The sequence below is a fragment of the Homo sapiens genome, chromosome 13, assembly GCF_000001405.40.
Source record: "Homo sapiens chromosome 13, GRCh38.p14 Primary Assembly".
NCBI lineage: Eukaryota > Metazoa > Chordata > Mammalia > Primates > Hominidae > Homo > Homo sapiens.
In genome coordinates this window covers 33007618-33027333 of record NC_000013.11, presented here as the reverse complement: position 1 = coordinate 33027333, position 19716 = coordinate 33007618, and the positions used below count along the sequence as shown (strand labels likewise).

General features: G+C 43.7%; 2 protein-coding genes across 6 annotated transcripts in view, besides 5 other annotated features; one reads left to right on the top strand and one right to left on the bottom strand.

The window, feature by feature from the left end:
- The window catches only part of KL (klotho), a 49901-nt gene extending 38810 nt beyond the window's left edge, over positions 1 to 11091 (bottom strand). For 3 of the 4 annotated variants that reach the window (NM_004795.4, XM_047430776.1, XM_047430775.1), the window contains exon 1: positions 10075 to 10911. In NM_004795.4, coding sequence (NP_004786.2) covers positions 10075 to 10893 — 819 coding nt within the window. In that variant the 5' untranslated portion in view covers positions 10894 to 10911. Of the gene's footprint in view, positions 1 to 10074; positions 10912 to 11020 lie in introns of those variants that run through there. The other variant, XM_006719895.3, reaches the window with a different exon arrangement.
- Positions 9886 to 9945: an enhancer, noted in NCBI's record as "active region_7567". NCBI's record gives its function as "activates an Ori minimal core promoter by ATAC-STARR-seq in GM12878 lymphoblastoid cells {active_cell/tissue: GM12878}" and the evidence as "EXISTENCE:reporter gene assay evidence [ECO:0000049][PMID:35858748]".
- Positions 10016 to 10115: a silencer, noted in NCBI's record as "silent region_5254". NCBI's record gives its function as "represses an Ori minimal core promoter by ATAC-STARR-seq in GM12878 lymphoblastoid cells {active_cell/tissue: GM12878}" and the evidence as "EXISTENCE:reporter gene assay evidence [ECO:0000049][PMID:35858748]".
- Positions 10154 to 10731: an enhancer, noted in NCBI's record as "H3K27ac-H3K4me1 hESC enhancer chr13:33590741-33591318 (GRCh37/hg19 assembly coordinates)". NCBI's record gives its function as "activates a minimal SCP1, AML or CMV promoter by ChIP-STARR-seq in primed H9 embryonic stem cells {active_cell/tissue: H9 hESC(primed)}" and the evidence as "EXISTENCE:reporter gene assay evidence [ECO:0000049][PMID:30033119]".
- Positions 10732 to 11307: an enhancer, noted in NCBI's record as "H3K27ac-H3K4me1 hESC enhancer chr13:33590165-33590740 (GRCh37/hg19 assembly coordinates)". NCBI's record gives its function as "activates a minimal SCP1, AML or CMV promoter by ChIP-STARR-seq in primed H9 embryonic stem cells {active_cell/tissue: H9 hESC(primed)}" and the evidence as "EXISTENCE:reporter gene assay evidence [ECO:0000049][PMID:30033119]".
- Positions 10806 to 10875: a silencer, noted in NCBI's record as "silent region_5253". NCBI's record gives its function as "represses an Ori minimal core promoter by ATAC-STARR-seq in GM12878 lymphoblastoid cells {active_cell/tissue: GM12878}" and the evidence as "EXISTENCE:reporter gene assay evidence [ECO:0000049][PMID:35858748]".
- LOC124903151 (translation initiation factor IF-2-like) lies at positions 10881 to 14482 on the top strand. 2 transcript variants are annotated; one of them, XM_047430819.1, is made up of 2 exons: positions 10881 to 11498; positions 13699 to 14482. In XM_047430819.1, the coding sequence occupies exons 1-2, from the start codon at positions 10892 to 10894 to the stop codon at positions 13887 to 13889; spliced, it is 798 nt and encodes a 265-aa protein (XP_047286775.1). In that variant the 5' UTR covers positions 10881 to 10891; the 3' UTR covers positions 13890 to 14482. The 2 variants fall into 2 exon arrangements, 1 of the variants encoding a protein (XP_047286775.1); XR_007063749.1 differs by having other exon boundaries at positions 11320 to 11498; positions 13661 to 14482.

Below are 19716 nucleotides of genomic sequence, written 5' to 3'. Positions count from 1 at the left end.
TAGCACTTCTTTATGCTGAAGAGGCCTCGTCCCTAAAAAGCAACAGGTGCACCCCTCAGGAGCTGACCCGGCACTAACGAGGATTAAATCCTAGTATAACCCACCTGGAGACAGCTGGGCCTGATAGAGAAGAAAAGATACTATATCCCAACATTGCTTCAAGATTGAGCATGCACTGCAAATCCTGAGGAGTAGCGCTGGGGTCCTTGACCAAGGAACTGGAACTTAACACAGGACAAGAAATAATTCATTATCTAGGGAACACTTTCTCCGGAAGTATGTTTTCACGATCCAGCAAGGACCCCAGGAGACGCGGTAAAGTTGCTGCTAGGGTGGCTCTGAGAAGCCTGTAAAAAGGGATGCCCAATGCTGAGCAGGCGGAAATGCCTGACATTGTTGCCCTAACAGCTGATAAAAGAATCAAGAAGCAGAGAGAAGCTGGCATGCAAGAACCAGTATATTATGTGAGGTCAAACAACCCACCAGAGGACAGTGTTTCCCAGAAGTCCCAAGTAGGGAGAAAGAGCATTCACTGCACCCTCAGGAATATGCTCATGGGGGTGCCAATCTCACTGAGACATTCAGTGGGGGCACCGCTCTCCAGGCCAGGGCTGCTGGTAGCAGAGGTGTCACAGAGCTGGGCTTGTTGCCACCCACGGGGATGGTCAGAAGTTGAAATTACAGAGGCCAGATAGTGAGTGGTGCTTAACTGCCAGAAGCCAGGGAGTTATAAAGATGGTTCATAGAGCATGGCTACATAAAAAGTGATGACCCCTTGTACAGTTCCCCGACTTAGCCAATTTTCCAAGCTATAATTCACTGACTGAAGAGGTGCCTAGGTCCCTAGGAGCCAGGACCCTGCAATAACACAGAGGTATGACCCCCCCACCCCATTCTTCCCATTCAATATGAAAATGCATGTCCTCCAGCTATAGGAAATTTTCTGGAATTACTTCATTGTTTCCTTTCCTTTTACGTCAGTTACCTATTGCTGTGAAATAGACCGCCCCCAATTTGGAGAATTGAACTAATAAGAATTTATTTTTTTCCTCTTGCTTCTGTGAGTTAATGGGGTTTGGCTGGGCAAATCCAGTCTTGAGTATGCAGCCAGGGAAGGGACACTGCAAGGGAAAAGGCACTGGCAGGGAGAATGAAGGACAGAGGCTAGAGAGAGCCCAGTCCCACCCATGAACTATACAGTAATCTTTACATACTTTTTACATACTTATTCATACAGAAGAGACATAACATGGGCTGCCTTTTAATAATCATACATCAACATTTTAATAACCAATTAGTATTCCACTGTATAAGCGTACCAACATTCCTCTAACGGATTACCTTAACACATTTAGCTGATGTCCAGTTTTAAAGAATAAACCACCATCAGCGGTAAACTTCCTCTTATCTTTGCACATTGGAGATGAAATTTAATAAGATTGAAAGTTTGAAAATAAACTACCAAAGAGATGACAGGGATGTTTGGCTTCACAGCAATTCACAAGCTGGGGGGAAAAAACCTGAGAGGTTTTAGCTGACTGCAAACTAATTTGAGTCCGCGGTAAGGTGACAGCCAAAATTGTTAATGCAATCTTGGGCGGCATGAACAAAATTCAGTGTCTAACAAGAAATGTAATCGCTGAAGCCTACTCTGAACACCTGGGGCACTGCTTGGTTCTGCACAGCAAATGTTAAGAGAGGCCTTGGAAATTCCCAGGCTTTCTTCTTCAGCTCCTCATCCTTTCCCACCTGACGCTTCAGCCATTCAAAAGACCTCATGCTGTGGTGGGAATGGCCACACTGTCTCACCTGTACTGACTTTGCAAGGGATGTTTCCTAGAAAGGCACAATGCCCTTCTCACTTTGTGTGCCCAGCAAGCCAAGCCCAGCAGCAGGGCCCACTACCTATTTTTGTAAATAAAGTTTTATTGAAACACAGCTGTGCCCATTCATTAACACATTGCCCATGGCTGCATTCATGCTGCAACCACAGAACTGTGTAATAGTTGCAACAGACACTGTAGGATCTGCAAAGTCCAAAACTTAGCCCTCTACAGAAAAAGATTGCCAGCCTCTGATCTTACAAGTATTGCTTTCCCTGACTGCTCCCGTACTACCTCCCCAAAACGCTAACCTATCTCTCCTTTCTTGAAATAGGTTCCTAAGCAAGTACTTATTTCTCTTAAGGCATTTATACATTTTACTGTAATTATTTGACAATTACCTCTCCCCTACTAATCTGTGACATGAGGGCAGGAATCTTACCTTATCCCTCTTTTCTGACAGTGCAGAAACTTGGAAATGGCAGCTCTGGCCAGGAAGGAGTAAAAAGGCCCCCTAGGTTAGGAGCCCCCTCACAGCCCATGCCAGATAGATAGGAGAAAACTGAATCTCTCGTGCAGCCCAAGCAGTATACCTTTGGTGAGCAATGTCCACGCTGAGTTGTGTTTGACTGCAGACAATTTCTGGGAGAATGTAGTTGAGTCGGGAGTGAGACGCCCCTACCACTGTCCCCGCACCTGTGCAGGGCTGGCATAAAGGCCTGATGGGAACAAGGGGACACAGGTCTCTATGGAAGAACTTGGGACACCGAAGAGAGGAAAAGGCAGAGGAAAGAGGACCACATGATGAGAAATCAAAGAGAAGAGAGGACAGGCGGGGAAGAGCAGCATCCCCAAGAGGCTCTGACAGGGCAACGGGCTTGCCTCCCATGCCCCCATCCTCCCCTGCAGCTTTGCAGCCGTCCTCTGGACCCTCACGAAAAGAGCCCTACAAATATGCCTCCTTTGGGAGCCAGGGCTCTGGACTCTCTACAGGGTCCGGCACAGGGAGAACTCCAACCACTCGTCCTCAGTCCTCTGCACCCATCAGCAGGACAATGGTGATGGATGATGAGACAGAGGCAGGTCCCACAGACAACCCTAAACCCTCCCCGCTGGGGAGATAGGTCGACTTTCCCCTCTCCTCTCCTCCACCTTATCCTGAAACGTCAGAAGACAGAGCCACCTGTTCAAAGGTTACATTCATATTCTCAGAATTCAACATTGCACCTGCCTGCCACAGGGTAAGCTCTCAAGAAATGTTCCTGACTAAATGTCCAGTCACCTCCATGTCTTCTTGGAGCAGACATTAGCATGAAGGAGAAAATTCTAGGAAGAACAAAACGTACTGGTCTTTTCAAATATGTGAAAGATGTCTTTTCAAATATGTGAAAGATGTCTTGTCAAAAAGTGACTTGCTTTATTCTTTGAGATTTAGGAAGGCAAAGAGACAGTCACGGAGGAGTCCTGTGCAGCAGCAGGTTCAATATGAAAGAGAAAATCAAGGGGGCAACTTGAGTGGAACTGAGTTCCTCCTGCTTCAAAGGGTCAAGCAAAAGCTAGCTGACCCCAGGAGAGCCACTGTAAGGAGTTCGTCCTGGAGAGAAGTGTAACCTGGGATTTTCCAAATTCCTTCTGATTCTAACATTCTAATTATCAAATAAAATGCACTTATAGATATGGAAATAACATTTGCTTAACCATTATATTTAAAATTAATGTACATCACTGCTTTCAGTTTGAGTATTTTATCAAGCTATAATGATACCGGTTCATGGATGACGTGACATCTGTACTTCAAACAAAAAATGTTAATAAAAAAATCTATTGAAACTGGGGCCACAAAAGTTCAATCAATATTTATCTTTGGTTTAGTCAATATATAAAGTTATATCAGTCATAAACTTTAGTATGTATCTTTTTACCACCAAGCTGGATCCAGAAAGATATTTGATAATGTGTTTTATGTAAAAATACGTTATTTCAAAAATGATTTGATAGTTTTTGGTCAAATGCTATTGAAATAATTTCAAAGAAGAGGCAAATTAAGTAGTTAAGTGAGGCTACCATGTCTAATGCATTTGTATGATTCCTTCTAAACAGCTCAAGAGGACCATTTCTCAAGTATTTTGCTATTATTACTATTATTATTAATGATAAATTTATAGCTCACTTTTGTAGAGCTTTTTGTATTTTTTCAAAACACGTTGACATATATAAGGTGCTTTTAATTCTCACAATATGCCTGGGAGTTAGGCAATGTGGTAGAGCCTGCTGGTTATCCTAAATGATCTGTTCCCATCTGATTTCAACTTAATAGAATCATTCACTGAGCACCCGGCTCCTCAGGGGACAATTATTTGCAGACTCCTTTTGACCATGTGACTGAGTTCTGCCCAAGGGACAGTGATAGGTGCAGCTTCCAGGTCAGGCACTTGAGAGGCCACCTTTTCCCTCTTCCTCTCTTTTCCTGTCCACTGGATGAAATTGGGATATTATGTGCTCTGGAAATCAACAAAGGTCACATAACGTATCTGCCTAGGAAAATCTTTACTGTTCTTCCTCACTCTTTAAAACTCCTTCCCAGATATTGTGTGAGAGCAGACTGCAAGCGCAATATTCCATTTACAAGAAAGAATATGGACACGTTGAAACCAGAAATATGTATTTTACCTCTCCACTTATGCCTTTATTAAAAATTGTATTTCTTTCCTCTGTGCCAAGCACTGAGATAAGCACTACAAATTTTGAAATAAATATGATAGGTAGTCTGTGCTCTTAAGAGAGCCACAACTGAGTAAATGATCCATTCTACCTGTGGTTATTGCAGAATGAAAATATTTGAGTCAAGTCTCTGAAGGGTAAGTAAGAGTTTACCCCAAGATAAAGAGGGGAAAAAGGCATCCTTCAGGTTATCTTCATACTCAGAATACATCAAAATAGAGCATATAAAAGTCACATTCTGCTTATCTGTTTAAATATAGATTTCAAGTATAACTTTGCATTTCTGGAGAAAATGTGGATCTGAGACAATTCAATAAGCTGTGTGTTTTTACTCACCTATTATTACTTGTCCTCCCAGTAAGCATGTATTCTATTCTCCTCCTCCACCTAAAATTTCCTTTATGCCTCAAAAAGACAACATTCATTGAAAGAAAGACAACTTTTGCACAAATTAATTATAATAAAATTCTAGTTTAGAGCAATGATATTTTTGAGAATATAAGATAATTCAGAAGGCTTCTATGTGCAAAAGCCGTGATTGCTACATATTCAGCTGGCACAGTTAATTGTTCATTCATTTTGCACCTGAGAAGGTGCATTGACATTACTTGAATGCATAGTTTACATTTTCCTTCTTTTCTTCAACTCAAAATAATTGGCATTGTTAAAACACTGCTATGATTTTGAAATGATTTGATTAATTCTTTTCCTATTTTAAAATTTTTTCTTGGACTTGACTGTAACCTTCAAAAAACAATGTGTTCAAAAAGGAGTGATTCAAGCTGTTTGGGAGATATTTTAACTATTTCTGACTAAATGCACTATTGAATTCAGTAGTATTCTAAAATTTATATTAACTTTCAATCCAGTTGATTATTCTAGTTATGTACAAAATACATTTTTTTGAGATGGAGTTTCGCTCTTGTTGCTCAGGATGGAGTGCAATGGTGCGATCTCAGCTCACTACAACCTCTGCCTCCCATGTTCAAACGATTCTCCTGCCTCAGCCTCCCAAGTAGCTGGGATTACAGGCACCTGCCACCACGTCTGGTGAATTTTCCATATTTTTAGTAGAGACGGGGTTTCACCATGTTGGCCAGGCTGTTCTCAAACTCCTGATCTCAGGTGATCCACCCGCCTCAGCCTCCCAAAGTGCTGGGATTACAGGTGTGAGCCACTGCGCCCGGCCCCAAATACATTTTAATGAAAGAAAAACTTGTAAAGTATTTCTCAAAAGTGCATAGTATATGTAATTTGAGCATATATACAGTAGACAAATCGCTCATACTAATTACTTGGGGAATAAAAATTCAATCAGCTAACAAAGCCCCTTCCAATATATACTCCTAAAGCTGGCCAGGAGACTTTACCACCTGCCCTTATTCTGAAAACTTCTTCATAATGCTGCATGGTGACTACAGATAGCTTTTAACTGGACATTTTCACAATGGAATCATACATTTGATGATGAACCTTAAATTTTCACTGCAGATGTCAGAGTCTGCCACGTTATGTTTACCTATTTTTCCTTATCAGATTAGGATTTGGTAGTCTCTGTTCCATTGGAAAGTGGCTAGAAAGACTGACAAGGAGAGAAAATTCTAGTAGCATGAGTTTATAAAGGTGAAATCAGGCTATTCGGTAAACCAGAAGCCACCTTCTGAGCACCAAGGGAGGGCAAGATGCCATTTTCAGAGATACAGATGAAGGGAACAGGATTACCCCAGATAGCGAAGGGGTAAAATGGAGACAAATGGTTAAATAAAGGGAAGAGCGCGGGAGGAGGCATCTGAGCAAAGCGAAGTCCTGTGCAGGATGCCATAGAAGGAAGAGATGGCATTCAGGCATGGGGCCCAAGGGAGCGTGTTAGCTGGCTCCAGAAGAACAGGTGGGATTTGAAAAAGCAAGGACTCTGTCTTGTCCACACATAATGTCACCCTGTAGAGCATCCATCATGGCACACTGCAGGGGGCAAGGCAGAAATAAGAACCCCAGCAGTGAGGCTGTTCCCATTACCCAGGCAAGGTTGGATGGTGTCTTGCACCTCCATCGTAGTCATAGATAAGGGGAGAAGTGGTTTGATTCTGGACACATCCTGGAGGTAGGTAGAGCTGCAGGATTTGTTGATGGATTAGAAACAAGACATGAAAAAGGGGAGTAGTTAAGATTCGGGGTCCAACAACTGGAAGAGTAAAAAGTCATCATAATAGAGAAGGGGAAGCAGGGGTTTGGTTTGGGATGTGTTCGATGTGACATGCCCATTAGACATCCACGTGGAGAAGGCGGTTGTCTATGCCAGTCTGATGCTCGGGGAAACCTGGGTGGAGACTCAAAATCTCCAGTCATCGGGATGCAGCAGTATTCAAAGCAATGGCCTGGAGTGAATCTAGACAGAGCCCTGAGCCCTCCACTATTTACAGGCAAGGTGAGGAGGAACAAGCAAAGGAGACTAAGAGGGAATCGCCAGGGAGCTGAGAGGAGAAGCAAGGGAGAGCCAGGGCCTGAAATCCAAGTTGAGGAAGGATTCAAGGGACAAGAAGTGATGGCTTCAACAAACATTGCAGACAGATGGGCTGAGACCTGCACACTGATGCTAATGCTCAACAATGCCCAGATTAATATCTCCTAGCCCTACTTCCTTACGTGAAAGAAGTCTTTTTCACAGGTTCCTTGCACAAATGTTTGCAAGAATCTCAGGCGGTGAGGGGAGTTGAAGGTGGGAAATGGGAACACGTGTATTTCCAACTTGATTCTAATCCTCTTAGAACCCATATACAGAACAAAGACTCAGAGGCACTGCTGGGGCTGAACTCCCCAACTACAGTCCCTAGTGCTGATTTCAGGGGACATTAAGAACTTTGTTTCAAGAGCTGTGAAGGCTGAGCAGTTGGTCTTCAAGTCCGAGAGAAAAGGTGCATCCTCCTGGATTACACTCAAATGAGCAAAGCAGCCTGAGCTCCAAGCTCTTTGTAGGAGACCTCTCTCTCTCTGTCCCTCCTCCCCTCTCCCCTCTTCTCCTTCTCTTCTGTCTCCTCTCTCTCTCTCTCTCTCTCTCTCACACACACACACACACACACACACCATTTTTGCCAAGGCTCACTCCAGTATGAGGAACCCACAAAGAACACCAAGACCTCCATTCTGAGCAGGGCCTCCATTATTTGTCCTGCTGTTTGTTTGTTCTGCCTCCTGTCCTCCAGGCCATCAATGATTCTTGACTCTCTAGGAGGGGTCAAGCTTCCCATCATCCCAGGGGATCTCCTTAGCCCATTTGTAAGTTAGTGGAAACACAGAGGGAGTGAGGGAAGGGTGCTAGCCAGTCTTTATCCTTCACCAACATCAGATCCCGGAACACAACTGGCCCCTATATCTGTACAGCAGCAATATCTAAGCCCCAGCTAAAATGCCCTTTTATCAAAATCTGCAGAATGTTTTATCTTTTTCAGGTAAGCTCAAATTTTTCTATTCTCGCTTCCCCCAACCCCTATATACACACCGAGAAAGGTCATTGAAAACAGAATGAAAGTATCTCATACAACAAAATTAATTCAAGATACTTTCTTTGACAATGGGAACTCGCTTCTAAATAAGATACAAGAATGACTAAACACCAAACCAAAAGAAATGTGAAAGCAAAATTAATACTTTACACCAACTAACAGTTTGTTTGCAACATCAGCAAATGGAGCATTCACCTGTTACTAATTTCCCTAAATACAAAGTCCACTGCATTTCTAGGAAGGATGGTTAGTGTTTGGCAAATTTTTTGTGTAAGCATTGAAAAATATAACTGAGAAGTTAATCAGAGGGCCATGAGTGGGCAAAAAGATCTAAAACATGTTGATTATTTAAAACACCAGAGCACCAGAGAGCACGCAAGTCTTTATCTTATAATAAAATGATCCTATAAGTCACTATAATAACAATTGACTACTTTGTATATGCAAGTTTATCCTAGGGACTCTAAAAATAGAACTTGTAGGATTTAAATCTAAAGTAAAGATTTTATGGGCATGATCTATTAGATCCTCCAGCTGATCCATTTATTTGCTTCCAGTATGAACTGATAACTTGCTTATGTTTTCTTCAAAAAGTGAGACCATTCTTCCCATAGTTTTTCTATCACCAGCCATACACTGGTGGTCTTTAGAGTTTTTCAGATCCATAAAAGGATTGAAAAAGTATAAGAATCACCGCTCTAAAACATCCTTATGAAAAGACATACATAAGTATGAAATCACAAAAATCACAATGTGTTTCCAAACAAATCCAACATTCTTTTATGGCCAGTAGCAGCAAACAGGTTTTGTGGAACTGACATAAAATCTAATTTAGCCATTATTACAACATTACCAGCAGCTCAGAGCACTAAGTCACCTCAATAACCCAGTACTGCTCTGCCCATATTATCTATGGCTTTAATTAAAAGTGTTTAGAAATGGTTTTAGTACTGACTTTGTTCAGAATATGTGGCTGAATTCTAAATTTAAAAATAAGTCTTCCAGTAGGCCCACAAGTGATCAGAATTGGGTACCAAAAGTTGTACATTTAAACACTTTTATTAAAATGTTTATACATGTACATAAAATATTTTATTGTGATACAAAACTCTGTACAAAGTGTACTAACAACTGACATGATTATAAATGAATCCCCAAAACAATGGTGCCTAAATTTGAACACTAAGGAGAAAAAAGGAGGAAGAAATACTTGAGACAACTTTACCATGGCATAGCAATATTTCCTGCTGTCAAAATTAATAAAATATTTTGCACAAGGGTGTTACAATTAATTTTATCAGGCTAACAATGTCATAAGTGAGGAACCCTTTCAACTGTAGAGAGCACTGTGGAAATATAGATGTGGTAGAACAATCTATATCACCCTGCAGTTGTTTCTGTGTTTCTATGACTAGCTTTGTTTGAGATTGTATAAAGCGGTCTTCACACCCCGGTGAATAAGATTGGTGGATGCAGTTCCCTGCCCTGCCGCAGAAGGGACCTCCAAACACAGTTTAAATCTGACTCTCCGGGAGTTGTGTTTTGACACTTTCACAACAGTGTGAACTTGTGCCACAAGCAAGACAGATCTTATTGGATTAACACTGAACTCGTGACAGCTCCAGAGAGTAATGCTATCTGTGCGGCTTAAGAACAAACGTGTTTCTTTCATCCACCCTGCTCATTCTCTTCCTGCAGTTACTCCTAGCAAATCCTCCCCGCCCTCACCTCTAGGAATTCCTCTACACCCAGAGAAAGGAGTTTCTTTCCTCACTGCGGAAACCTATCACCGCTTCCTTTCCACAGATGGACTCCAAGGGGCACTCACTCGTGTGCCCACTAAGGGATTTCTCTCCTAATTCCACGCCTTCCAAGGGAAGTCAGAACTGCTCAGTTTCCCCCGGTGACCACATACACGTGTCCAAGTGAAGCCTCGTCTGGGGGAGACTCAGTTCCCACACTTCCCCCTGGCCCCTGTGGAGGCCCTCTGTCTCCCCTGCGTGGCCCTCCGCCTGGCCCCTCGCACTCACCAGGAGGAGGTTGTGCGCCACCAGGTACCCGAGCCGCGGGCTGCCCCGGATGCCGGGGGCCAGGCGCCCGGTGGCGTAGCCGTGCCAGGCCACCACGTAGGGGTTGTCGATGGTGATCCAGTACTTGACCTGACCGCCGAAGTGGCGGAAGCAGAGCTCCGCGTAATCCCTGAAGTGGTCGGCCAGGGCGCGGTTGGCCCAGCCGCCGTAGGCGTCCTGCAGGCGCTGGGGCAGGTCCCAGTGGTACAGGGTGACCACGGGCTGCACGCCCAGCTCCCGCAGCCGCTCCAGCAGGCGCCGGTAGTAGCGCAGCCCCTCGCGGTTGGGGACGCCCGCGCTGCCATTGGGGAGCACTCGCGCCCACGAGATGGAGAAGCGGTAGTGAGTGACCCCGAGCTCGCGCAGCGCCTCCGTGTCGCGGAAGACGTTGTTGTAGCTGTCGCTGGCTACGTCCCCGGTGGCGGGCTGCAGCGGCGACGGGGCGCCCAACGGCAGACTGGCGTTCCGGGAGTCTCCCGGGGGTGCCAGGGGGTGGTGGGTGAACGTATCCCAGATGGACGCACCCTTGCCGTGCTGCTGCCAGCCGCCCTCGGTCTGGTAGGCGGCGCTGCCCACGGCCCAGAGGAAGCCGTCGGGGAAGGTGCCCTGGAAGAGGCCCGCGGCCTCGGGGGCAGGAGGCCGCGAGAAACGGGCCCAGGTCTGCGCGCCGTCGCCCGGCTCCGCACGCAGGCGGCGGCCGCCCAGGCCCAGCAGCACCAGCAGCAGCGACAGCGACGGCGGCGGCGGCCGCGGGCGGCGCGGCGGGGCGCTGGCGGGCATGCTGCGCGGGAGCCAGGCTCCGGGGCCCCGCGCCGCGCCCCTTTATGCCCGCGCCCCGCCGCGCCCGCCCGCCCACCGCCGGCGCGCCCACCCCCGCTCCCCGGCGGGCTCCGCTGGCAATAATTACCTGCGAGCCGGGACTGCCTCCGCCCTGGCACTGGGGGCGGGGGCAGGGGCGCCGAGGGCGAGGGGTGCCCGGGAGGGGCGCGGCAGCGGGCAAGGTGCGGCAGGCGTCGCCCGCGGACGTCGGAGAAAGGCACCTGTTTCTCCCAGCTCCCGGGAGCCGTGCAGGACGTTTCGTGGACGCTCAGGTTCATTCTCTTTGCCTGCCGCGCGTCCTCTGAGAGCAGCCCTGGAGCGGCTTCGTCGGGGAGAAAAGGCGCCGACCAACTTTCCCCGACTTGGGGGCGGGATCCTGCCGGGCCCTAGCGGAGCGCGCCGCTGGGGAAGCACCTGCTCTCACTTTTCTCCCACTCGGAGGCCCAAAGAAGCTCCGGCTGGACATTGCTGGAGCCAATTAGGGACTGGCCGAAATCCTAGAGGGACTGCCAGGTGGGACAGCCGAGGGGGAACTTCGCCGTGCGCTGAAAGGGATTCCCCCTTAGGTGAGATGCTCGCGGGGAGACGCGCCCACCCGCGCCCCTCTTTCGAGGAAGACAAAGTAGATTTATGGGTTGCGTTGGGACTGGGGTTTTGCTCTCCCTTTTACTGTTACCTTTTAATAATTTCAAACCAGCACTCTATCTTTGATTAGATCTCTCAGAATACCCTGGTGAACTTCAAATCACAGTCGTTGATTGTTCTCCTGAAAAACCAAACACCAAGTTTCCAATTTTGAGTAAATCTCATTCACCTTTATTATCCTTTGGCATCTGTGTTACCTTTCGGCTCTGACTTAGCAGGTAATCTGTGCAAAGTTGTGCGCACAGGTCTGCTGGAGCGGGAGGTCCCTGGGTCGCACATTTGCCATCTGAGCTGTGGAGGGAAAGGGGAGGGAGAATTTAGCCGGAACACCCATTCCCATCCTCTACAATACAATGGAGCCATGACGTTTTTCCTGTTGCCAAAGAGCCCTTTTGACAGAAGTTGCAGAGCCACAGTGTCCATTTGGATGTGGGTAGATAGGATTGTGGCTAACCGAAATACAGTTGGTGGAGACTGAGAAGGTCTAGGCTCCACCTTTGTGATTTGGGGCAGGAAACCTCTGTAAGCCTAAGTTTCCTCCTCTATAAAATAAGGATGTCCTGTCTGCCCTGCCGCCTCAGAGGCTTGTGAAGTCCAGTGAAAAACTGCGCAAAGGTGACTCAAAGACAGAAAGCCCAGACAAGTGAAGGATCTTGCTAATATCCCTACCTCCCTACCCAGTAAGTCGTGCCTTAGTTTCCTCACCCGTACACGTGTGTTGAATGACCAAGATCCTCACAGAGGTGCATCCATTCTCCCCCAGTGATCTATCTTCCCTGCATTATTTAATACAAATTTAAAGGCAATAACATTTTAAATGTTGCAGATGAAGGTGCTTTTATTAATTCCCCTGAAATATAAGCACAAATTTATTCCAGTATTTTATGAAATATTCCCAACTCCAGCCAGCATATATTACCATGATTAGTAAGATTAAGTCTTCAGATTGAAACAGAGTTACTGCCATTCTGTTAAATATAGCATTTACATTTTTTCAATAAATACGAAATAGCAAACCATGACACTTCAGCAATTTTAAAAAATTACAGCACACAACTTCACTGTCACGCTGTCTTCCAGCTAAATTTAAAAAGCTACGTCTACATGGAGTATCACATTTCCCTTCTAGAAGTGAAGATTGGAGTGTCTGTTGGGTTGTAGCTTGTTAAGTTTCAATTAGAAATGCTTCATGGGTCTCATGGAAAATCGCTTAAGCTAAGTATTCATTTATTGATGTATGGTCTGTTTGCTCAGGGCAGATTTTATCTATTGCTATTTTTACTTGACCAGCAGCATTTTTTAAATTTTAAAGCAGTGATTAAAAAGCAAGACCAAGTTAACTAAACGTTTCACATTTGAAATTTGTCTGCCACATAGGCACATGCATCTCAAAGCTTTAAGCATTCCAAGACATGTTCCCAGATGATTGTTCATTTAACCCAGTGATAAAGATTGCATGATGATTAAACTTTATTTCCAGAACTTTCTGTTTATTAAGGTTCTGTTCATGGTTACTAAGTTCTGGGTTCCACAAGTGTGAGACGGAGTCTCACTCTGTCGCCCAGGCTGGAGTGCAGTGGCATGGTCTCTGCTCACTGCAACCTCTGCCTCCCAGGTTCAAGCAATTCTCCTGTCTCAGCCCCCCAGTAGCTGGGATTATAAGGGCACACCACCACACCTGGCTAATTTTTGTATTTTTAGTAGAGACAGGGTTTCACCATGCTGACCAGGCTGGTCTCAAACTCCTGATCTCCTGTGATCCACCCACCTCGGTCTCCTAAAATGCTGGGATTACAGGTGTGAGACACTGTGCCCGGCCTAGTGCTGCTGCTTATTTATTTTGGCTTTATTTTGGTTTTTATTTTTTACAACCACCTTCAAACATCTGAAACTTGGGTTTCAAATGCAAATAAGAGATTAATTACTTGCTGTGCTTTGAACAGGAAGGTGAAGTTATTGATGCATTGAAGAAAAGGACATTGTAAATTTATTTACTGACTTTGATTTTGGTGACAATTTCAACACTGAAAGTTGTCAACAATCTGATCAACTTTTCCTCCATTCTCCACATTCCTTCATCCAGTGCCTTCCCACCTGTTCTCTTTCCTATTGTGTTCCCAGGACGATGGGAGCCTTTTAACACCAATGGAGCAGGAGATGCACTGATTCACATGCACCCAAATACAACACCAACCCCACAAGCTCTCAGCTCACCAGTCACAGACATCACCTTCTACGGACATATTTTTATTTCACTGAGCTACAACTACGGGCAAGGCAACGACGAGCTGTGTGGAGACTTCAAAACATAGAGGACAACCTCTGCCCTCAAAGACAACATCCAACTGAAGAAAGGATCAAGAAAGATGAAAATAAATAAGTTGTTTGATTATGCTGTGTTAATAAATGACCCATAGAATAATTGTCAGAGAAATTCAGAAGAAGAAGAAATTACCCTATTTTGAGTTGTTTGGAAAAGTTTAACAGAGAAAAATATGACAATATCTGGGGTTTAAAGAGTAAAACTCGCACAAAGACCTGGAGGGAAGGAATCAAGAGATGCCAACACTGAAGAAAAAAACATGTTCATAGTGTATTCGTGGTGAAAAGAAAGGGTTTTTGTGCGCAAGGAAGTAATGGACCAAAATGCAGTAGTCCCAGTGCCTAGAATCATGCTGAGCACAAAACAAGTATTTGTTTAATGAGCAAATGAAAGTAGAGTTTCATTTGTCCAGTTAACAAAATACACAAGTATTCCCTGCCCTCCTCTTTTTAAAATTAATTAATTAATTAATTTTTAACAGACAAAAAATTATATATATTTTCATGTACAGCATGTTATTTTAAAATATATACACATTTGTAGAGTGGCTAAATTGAGCTAATAAACGTATGTATTACCTCACATACTTATTTTTTTTGTGGTAAGAAGACTTAAAATCTGGCCGGGCGTGGTGGCTCACACCTGTAATCCCAGCACTTTGAGAGGCCGAGGCAGGTGGACCACCTAAGGTCAGGAGTTCGAGACCAGCCTGGCCAACATGGTGAAACTCCTGTCTCTACTAAAAATACAAAAATTCACCAACATGGTGGCAGGCACCTGTAATCCCAGCTACTCAGGAGGCTGAGGCAGGAGAATCACTTGAACCCGGGAGGCGGAGGTTGCAGTGAGCTGAGATCACACCACTGTACTCCAGCTTTGGCAACAGAGCAAGAGTCTGTTTCAAAAAAGAAAAAAGAAAAGAAAAGAAGAAAAGAAAGAAAAAGAAGAATACTTAAAATCTACTCTGAGATTTTCAAAAATACAATATATTGTTATTAACTATAGTCACCATGTGGCACTATAGATCTCTTGGCTTATTCCTCCATCTAATTGAAATTTTGCATCCTTCAAGCAATATCTCCCCACCCCTCCACTCCCACATCTCATCTTTTGGCAACCATCGTTCTCCTCTCTGCTTCTGTGAGTTCAACTTTTTCAGACTCCACATATAACTGAGATCATACAGTATTTGTCTTTCTGTGCATGGCTTATTTCATTTAACATAATGCCCTCCAGGTTCATCCATGTCATCACAAATGACAGAATTTCCTTTTTTTTGTAAGGCTGACTAGTATTCCATAGTGGATATATGCCACATTTTCTTTATCCATTTGTTTGTTCATGGATACTTAGATTGAATCATTATCTTGGCTATTGTGAATGGTAATACAGTAAACAACACAATGCACATATTCCTTCGGCATACCGATTTCATTTCCTTTGGATATATACCCGTAATAGGAATTAGGAATGCTGAGTCATATGGTGATTCTTTTTTCTTTTTCTTTTTTTTTAAAAAAACCTGGTCTCACTCTGTCCCCCAGGCTGGAGTGCAATGGCACAATCTCAACTCACTGCAGTCTCAAGTCCCTCGGGCTCAAGCAATCCTCCCACCTCAGTCTCCCCAAGTAGCTGGGACTACAGGCATATACCACCATGCCTGGCTAATTTTTCTATTTTTTGTAGAGATGAGGTTTTGCCATGTTGCCAAGGCTGATCTCAAACTCCTGGGCTCAAGCAATCTGTCCGCCTTGGCCTCCGAAAGTGCTGGGATTACAGGCATGAGCCACCATGCCTGGCCATGGTGGTTCTATTTTTAAATTTTTGGGTGAACCTCTATATTGTTTTTCATAATGGCTATATTAATTTACATTCCCACCAATGGCATACAAGGATTTTCTTTTTTCTCTATCTTGTCAACACTTGGTATCTTTCATCTTTTTTTATAACAACTATTGTAACTAGGGTGAGGTGATATCTCATTGTGGTTTTAATATGCATTTGCCTGATGATTAGTGATGTTGAGCATTTTTTCATAGATTTGACCATTTGTATGTCTCCTTTTGAGAAATGTCTACTCAGATCCTTTGCCCATTCTTTAATTGGGTTATTTGCTTTCTTGCTATAGAGTTGTTTGAGTTGCTTATATATTTTGGATATTAAAACCCTTATCAGATGTATGGTTTGCAATTCTGTAGGCTGTCTCTTCAATCTATTGATTGTTTCCTCGGCTGTGCTTTTCGTCCTCTTCTACCCATCTCCCTGCTCGTTACTCTGCTCCAGCCACACTGGCCTCTTAGTTGTCCTTGGAACAAACCAAACTTATTCCCAGCTTTGGCGTCTTTGACTTGCCCTGCCCCATCTCTGGAATGCTCTTCATGAAACCACTTGCCTCTCCTCAGTCAGCTCCCAGACAAAAAGTATATCCTTAACCTTCTCTGCTCTCTCTGTCCAAAGTAGTTACCCCAGTTCTTCTCAACTACAGTACCCTGTTTTAGTTGTCTCATAGAGCCTATGGCTGTCTCAAATTATCTTGTTCATTTACTTGCTTATTTCCTTTATTTCCCATAAGAATGTGAACTCCATAGTAATGGACATATGGCCTTTTCTTTGCGATATCTCCAGTACCTAGGAGATGGTACCCGTCCACTGTAGGTGCTCTCTACGTATTTGTGGAATGAAGGAGTGGATGAATGAACCCATTGGTAAGGGATGGATTGCCCTTCCTCAGGGCCAAAACAGAATATTGAGGATTCTAAAGCTACAACCCGGCTTAGGAAAAGAGCCTGTGATTGATTAGTAATGTCTGCCCTGAGCACAGAAAAGGAAAGTGGTCACAACAAAACCATATTTGACATCCTACATGGGACTACAGTAGGCCACGGCCCAAGCCTACTCTACTGAAAAACCTCAGGAAGAACTGATGTTACGACAATAAACAGAACACAAAACTATGTAACTGTGAATAGCTTACATGCCAACATTCCCCAGTTCTCCCAGTACACCTCTAACAAGCCCAAAAGGGTTAAGAAGGATTAACACTGGAGTTCTGAGCTTCTCTGATCTAGCAAATTCTTCATTCCACAGAGATTTCCAGAACTACCAAATACCAGGCGCACCTTTGTGAAGGACTAGGGAGGCATCAGGGAGCCACTTCCACCCACTAGTATCCTCATTCTTCTTATTTGCAAGTAAGAGAAATGTGGAAGTGATTTACATTCCAAGATTTGAAGTCCAAACCTGTAAGCGCCCAACTCAACTCAGGAACCACTGAGGGTTTTTAACTAGTGAAGTTACAATGGCAAATTGCAGTATGCCTCAACTTATTTTAAGACAGAGGCAATATTAATTAACCAATCTATTGATTGGCAGTGACAGGCAGGATTAATTAAAAGAGGAGATGCTAGAACCTGAAAGACCACTTTGAAAGAAACTACAGTAACCTGGCTAATAAGTTAAGAAAGGCTTATGCCTAGCATGGTGAAAATTGTAAAGAAAAGGAAGGGAAAGATGTAAGGCGATTCAAAAAAAGACTGATTGAACATAAGAGAGAAGAGAAGATGAAAGACTAAAAGATGATCTTAATGTTTTGAGCTTAATTGAAAATAAAAATAAGACTATAGATATATTTAAGTACATTCAGAAGTATAACTAATTTGAGCAAAAGATAAATTCAGTGTTAAATATATTGAATTTGAAGTGTCACTCAAAGATATAAGTAAAGATATTAATCATATGATGGAACTATAGAATTGAAGCCAGGAGGCAGTTACAGCCTGGGGATTTGGACCAGAAACGTTGATACGAGGCTAGCACATAAGATGAGGATATTAAAAAAGAAACAACTAAAAGCCAAGGGCTGAGTCTTGGCGAATGTCTCCATTGAGTTGAATGGGTGGGGTAGAGGAAGAAAGGAGTCCAAACAAAGTGAGCCCACAGAGGAGTTCCAGAAGTCCCAGGATGAAGTGTTTTTCAAACTTAGGAGATGAGTATTTTTAAAAGGGGAGATGATGAAACTTGTTGAGAAAAGACAATTGACCTAGAAGTTAGTTCATTTGGTGACTTTGGAGACAGATTTTTAGTTGTAATGGGGACTAAAGCCAGATTACAATGTAAGTCATTAATGAGAGTCTGTGGGTGGCAAGAAAACAAAGGCCACAGATGTACACTTCTCTGAGAAGTTTGCCAGTGGGAGGAGAGAGAAAGAATGTCACTTGTCGAGTTAGCAGAGTTCAGAGAAAATTTTTTCAAGATGGGGAACTCTGCACATATTTTTGTGCTGAGAAGGAAAGGTTAAGGAAAATGAGAATGGGGAGTTTCGAGGGGAAGATGAAGCAAATAGCCTAACTAGCACCAGCTGTGATCTAAAGTAGCTGATTGTAGACTTTTAGTGTCCCAAGATATTAAACCTGGAACCAGTAAGAAGACCAGAAAAACAAGAGGATGCAGCTGGAATACTGTCATGGTGCAGAAGGGAACATAAGCCAGTGCATCAGGGATGGTGGACAAAAAGCTACTAAAAAGGCAACAAAAAGGAGGTCCAAAAAGACATTAAGACAATTGCAAATAGGTTCTCAGGAAGATATAGTTCTGCAGAGCTCCCTGGAGCTAAAGTAGACTGTGGAGCCACTAGATTCAATTTTTGTTGCTTCTGCATCCTGGGAAATCTGACTGTTCCTGGGTGGCTGCATCTCTTCCAAGTGGAGCAGGAAGCCAAGAGCTTGGATCCTGCACTCTCCATCACCTTCCATGTCTTCCTAAGTAATATCCCGCCTCCATAGCCTGATGTTGATTTGGACACTAACTAAACATGCCCTGACACAAGGCTTCTGTCTAGAACCTGGGAATAGGCTCATCAGGGACACAGGGCATTGAATTGCTGGAGTCAAGATGTTTCTATTCCCTTCGTCTCTCAAAAATTTCCCCAAATACAATGAGGAGAATGACAGACACATCTATTTTCAATGAAACTGAGAGGGGTTAGCATATGGAAAGGAAATGAATATGAATTGCTGGTAAGTGAGTTAGCTGAGGGACATATGAATGAGAAGCAAGATGATTTACCTGACATTCCTCCAGAAAGAATCAAGATCTGAGATACTAAGACAAGAAAGGAGGAGACGGAGGCCTTAAAAATACGAGTTGGGCAAAGTAAATACCCAAGTCTCCAATATGGTGAAAGAGAAATGCCAAATTCAGACTCACTAAAAGACTGTGATCCAATCATAGGACTATAGAATGATTCCCATTTCCCCACATCTTATCACTCCCCACCTAACCACCACATCAGTAGGGCTTCTGTATAATAACAGGGAAATACAGCTAAAGCTTCAGATCCTATTTAAGAAGAAGTCTCTAGGGAAGCCCAAAAACAATACGAGAGACAAAAACAAGGACAGTAAAGGCAATTTTAGCCTCTGATACCACAGCTATAATAAACAAACACAACCTAATTCCTAGCCAGATAAACATAAGCCTCACACTTTTGGGCTTGTCTACCTAGTTCATTTTATCTGATACATCATGTCTAACCTTCAGCCAAAAATTACAAAACATGCTAAAAGGCAAAAAAAAGAAAGAAAGAAAGAAAGAACTCAGTGTGAAGAGACAATGCAAGCATCAGAACCAGACTCAAAAATGTGTTTTTTTAAAAAATAGTTAAGCACTTCTCCAGGGGGGGAATAAGTTGTGTGATAAAGGAAATGTTATTACAGTACACTACTTGGCTCAGCTGTGAATGAAATTTACATACTTATGCTTAATATAAATGTAATAGACACTTCTGATTATAACTCTATTGGGCAATTGCATGAATG

Bases quoted from the DNA above. Each gene is read 5' to 3' on its own strand.
- LOC124903151 (XM_047430819.1), top strand. From the start codon at position 10,892: ATGCTGCGCGGGAGCCAGGCTCCGGGGCCCCGCGCCGCGCCCCTTTAT. The intron at 11,499-13,698 runs GTGAGATGCTCG...TTGTGTTCCCAG, and splicing joins TGAAAGGGATTCCCCCTTAG to GACGATGGGAGCCTTTTAAC.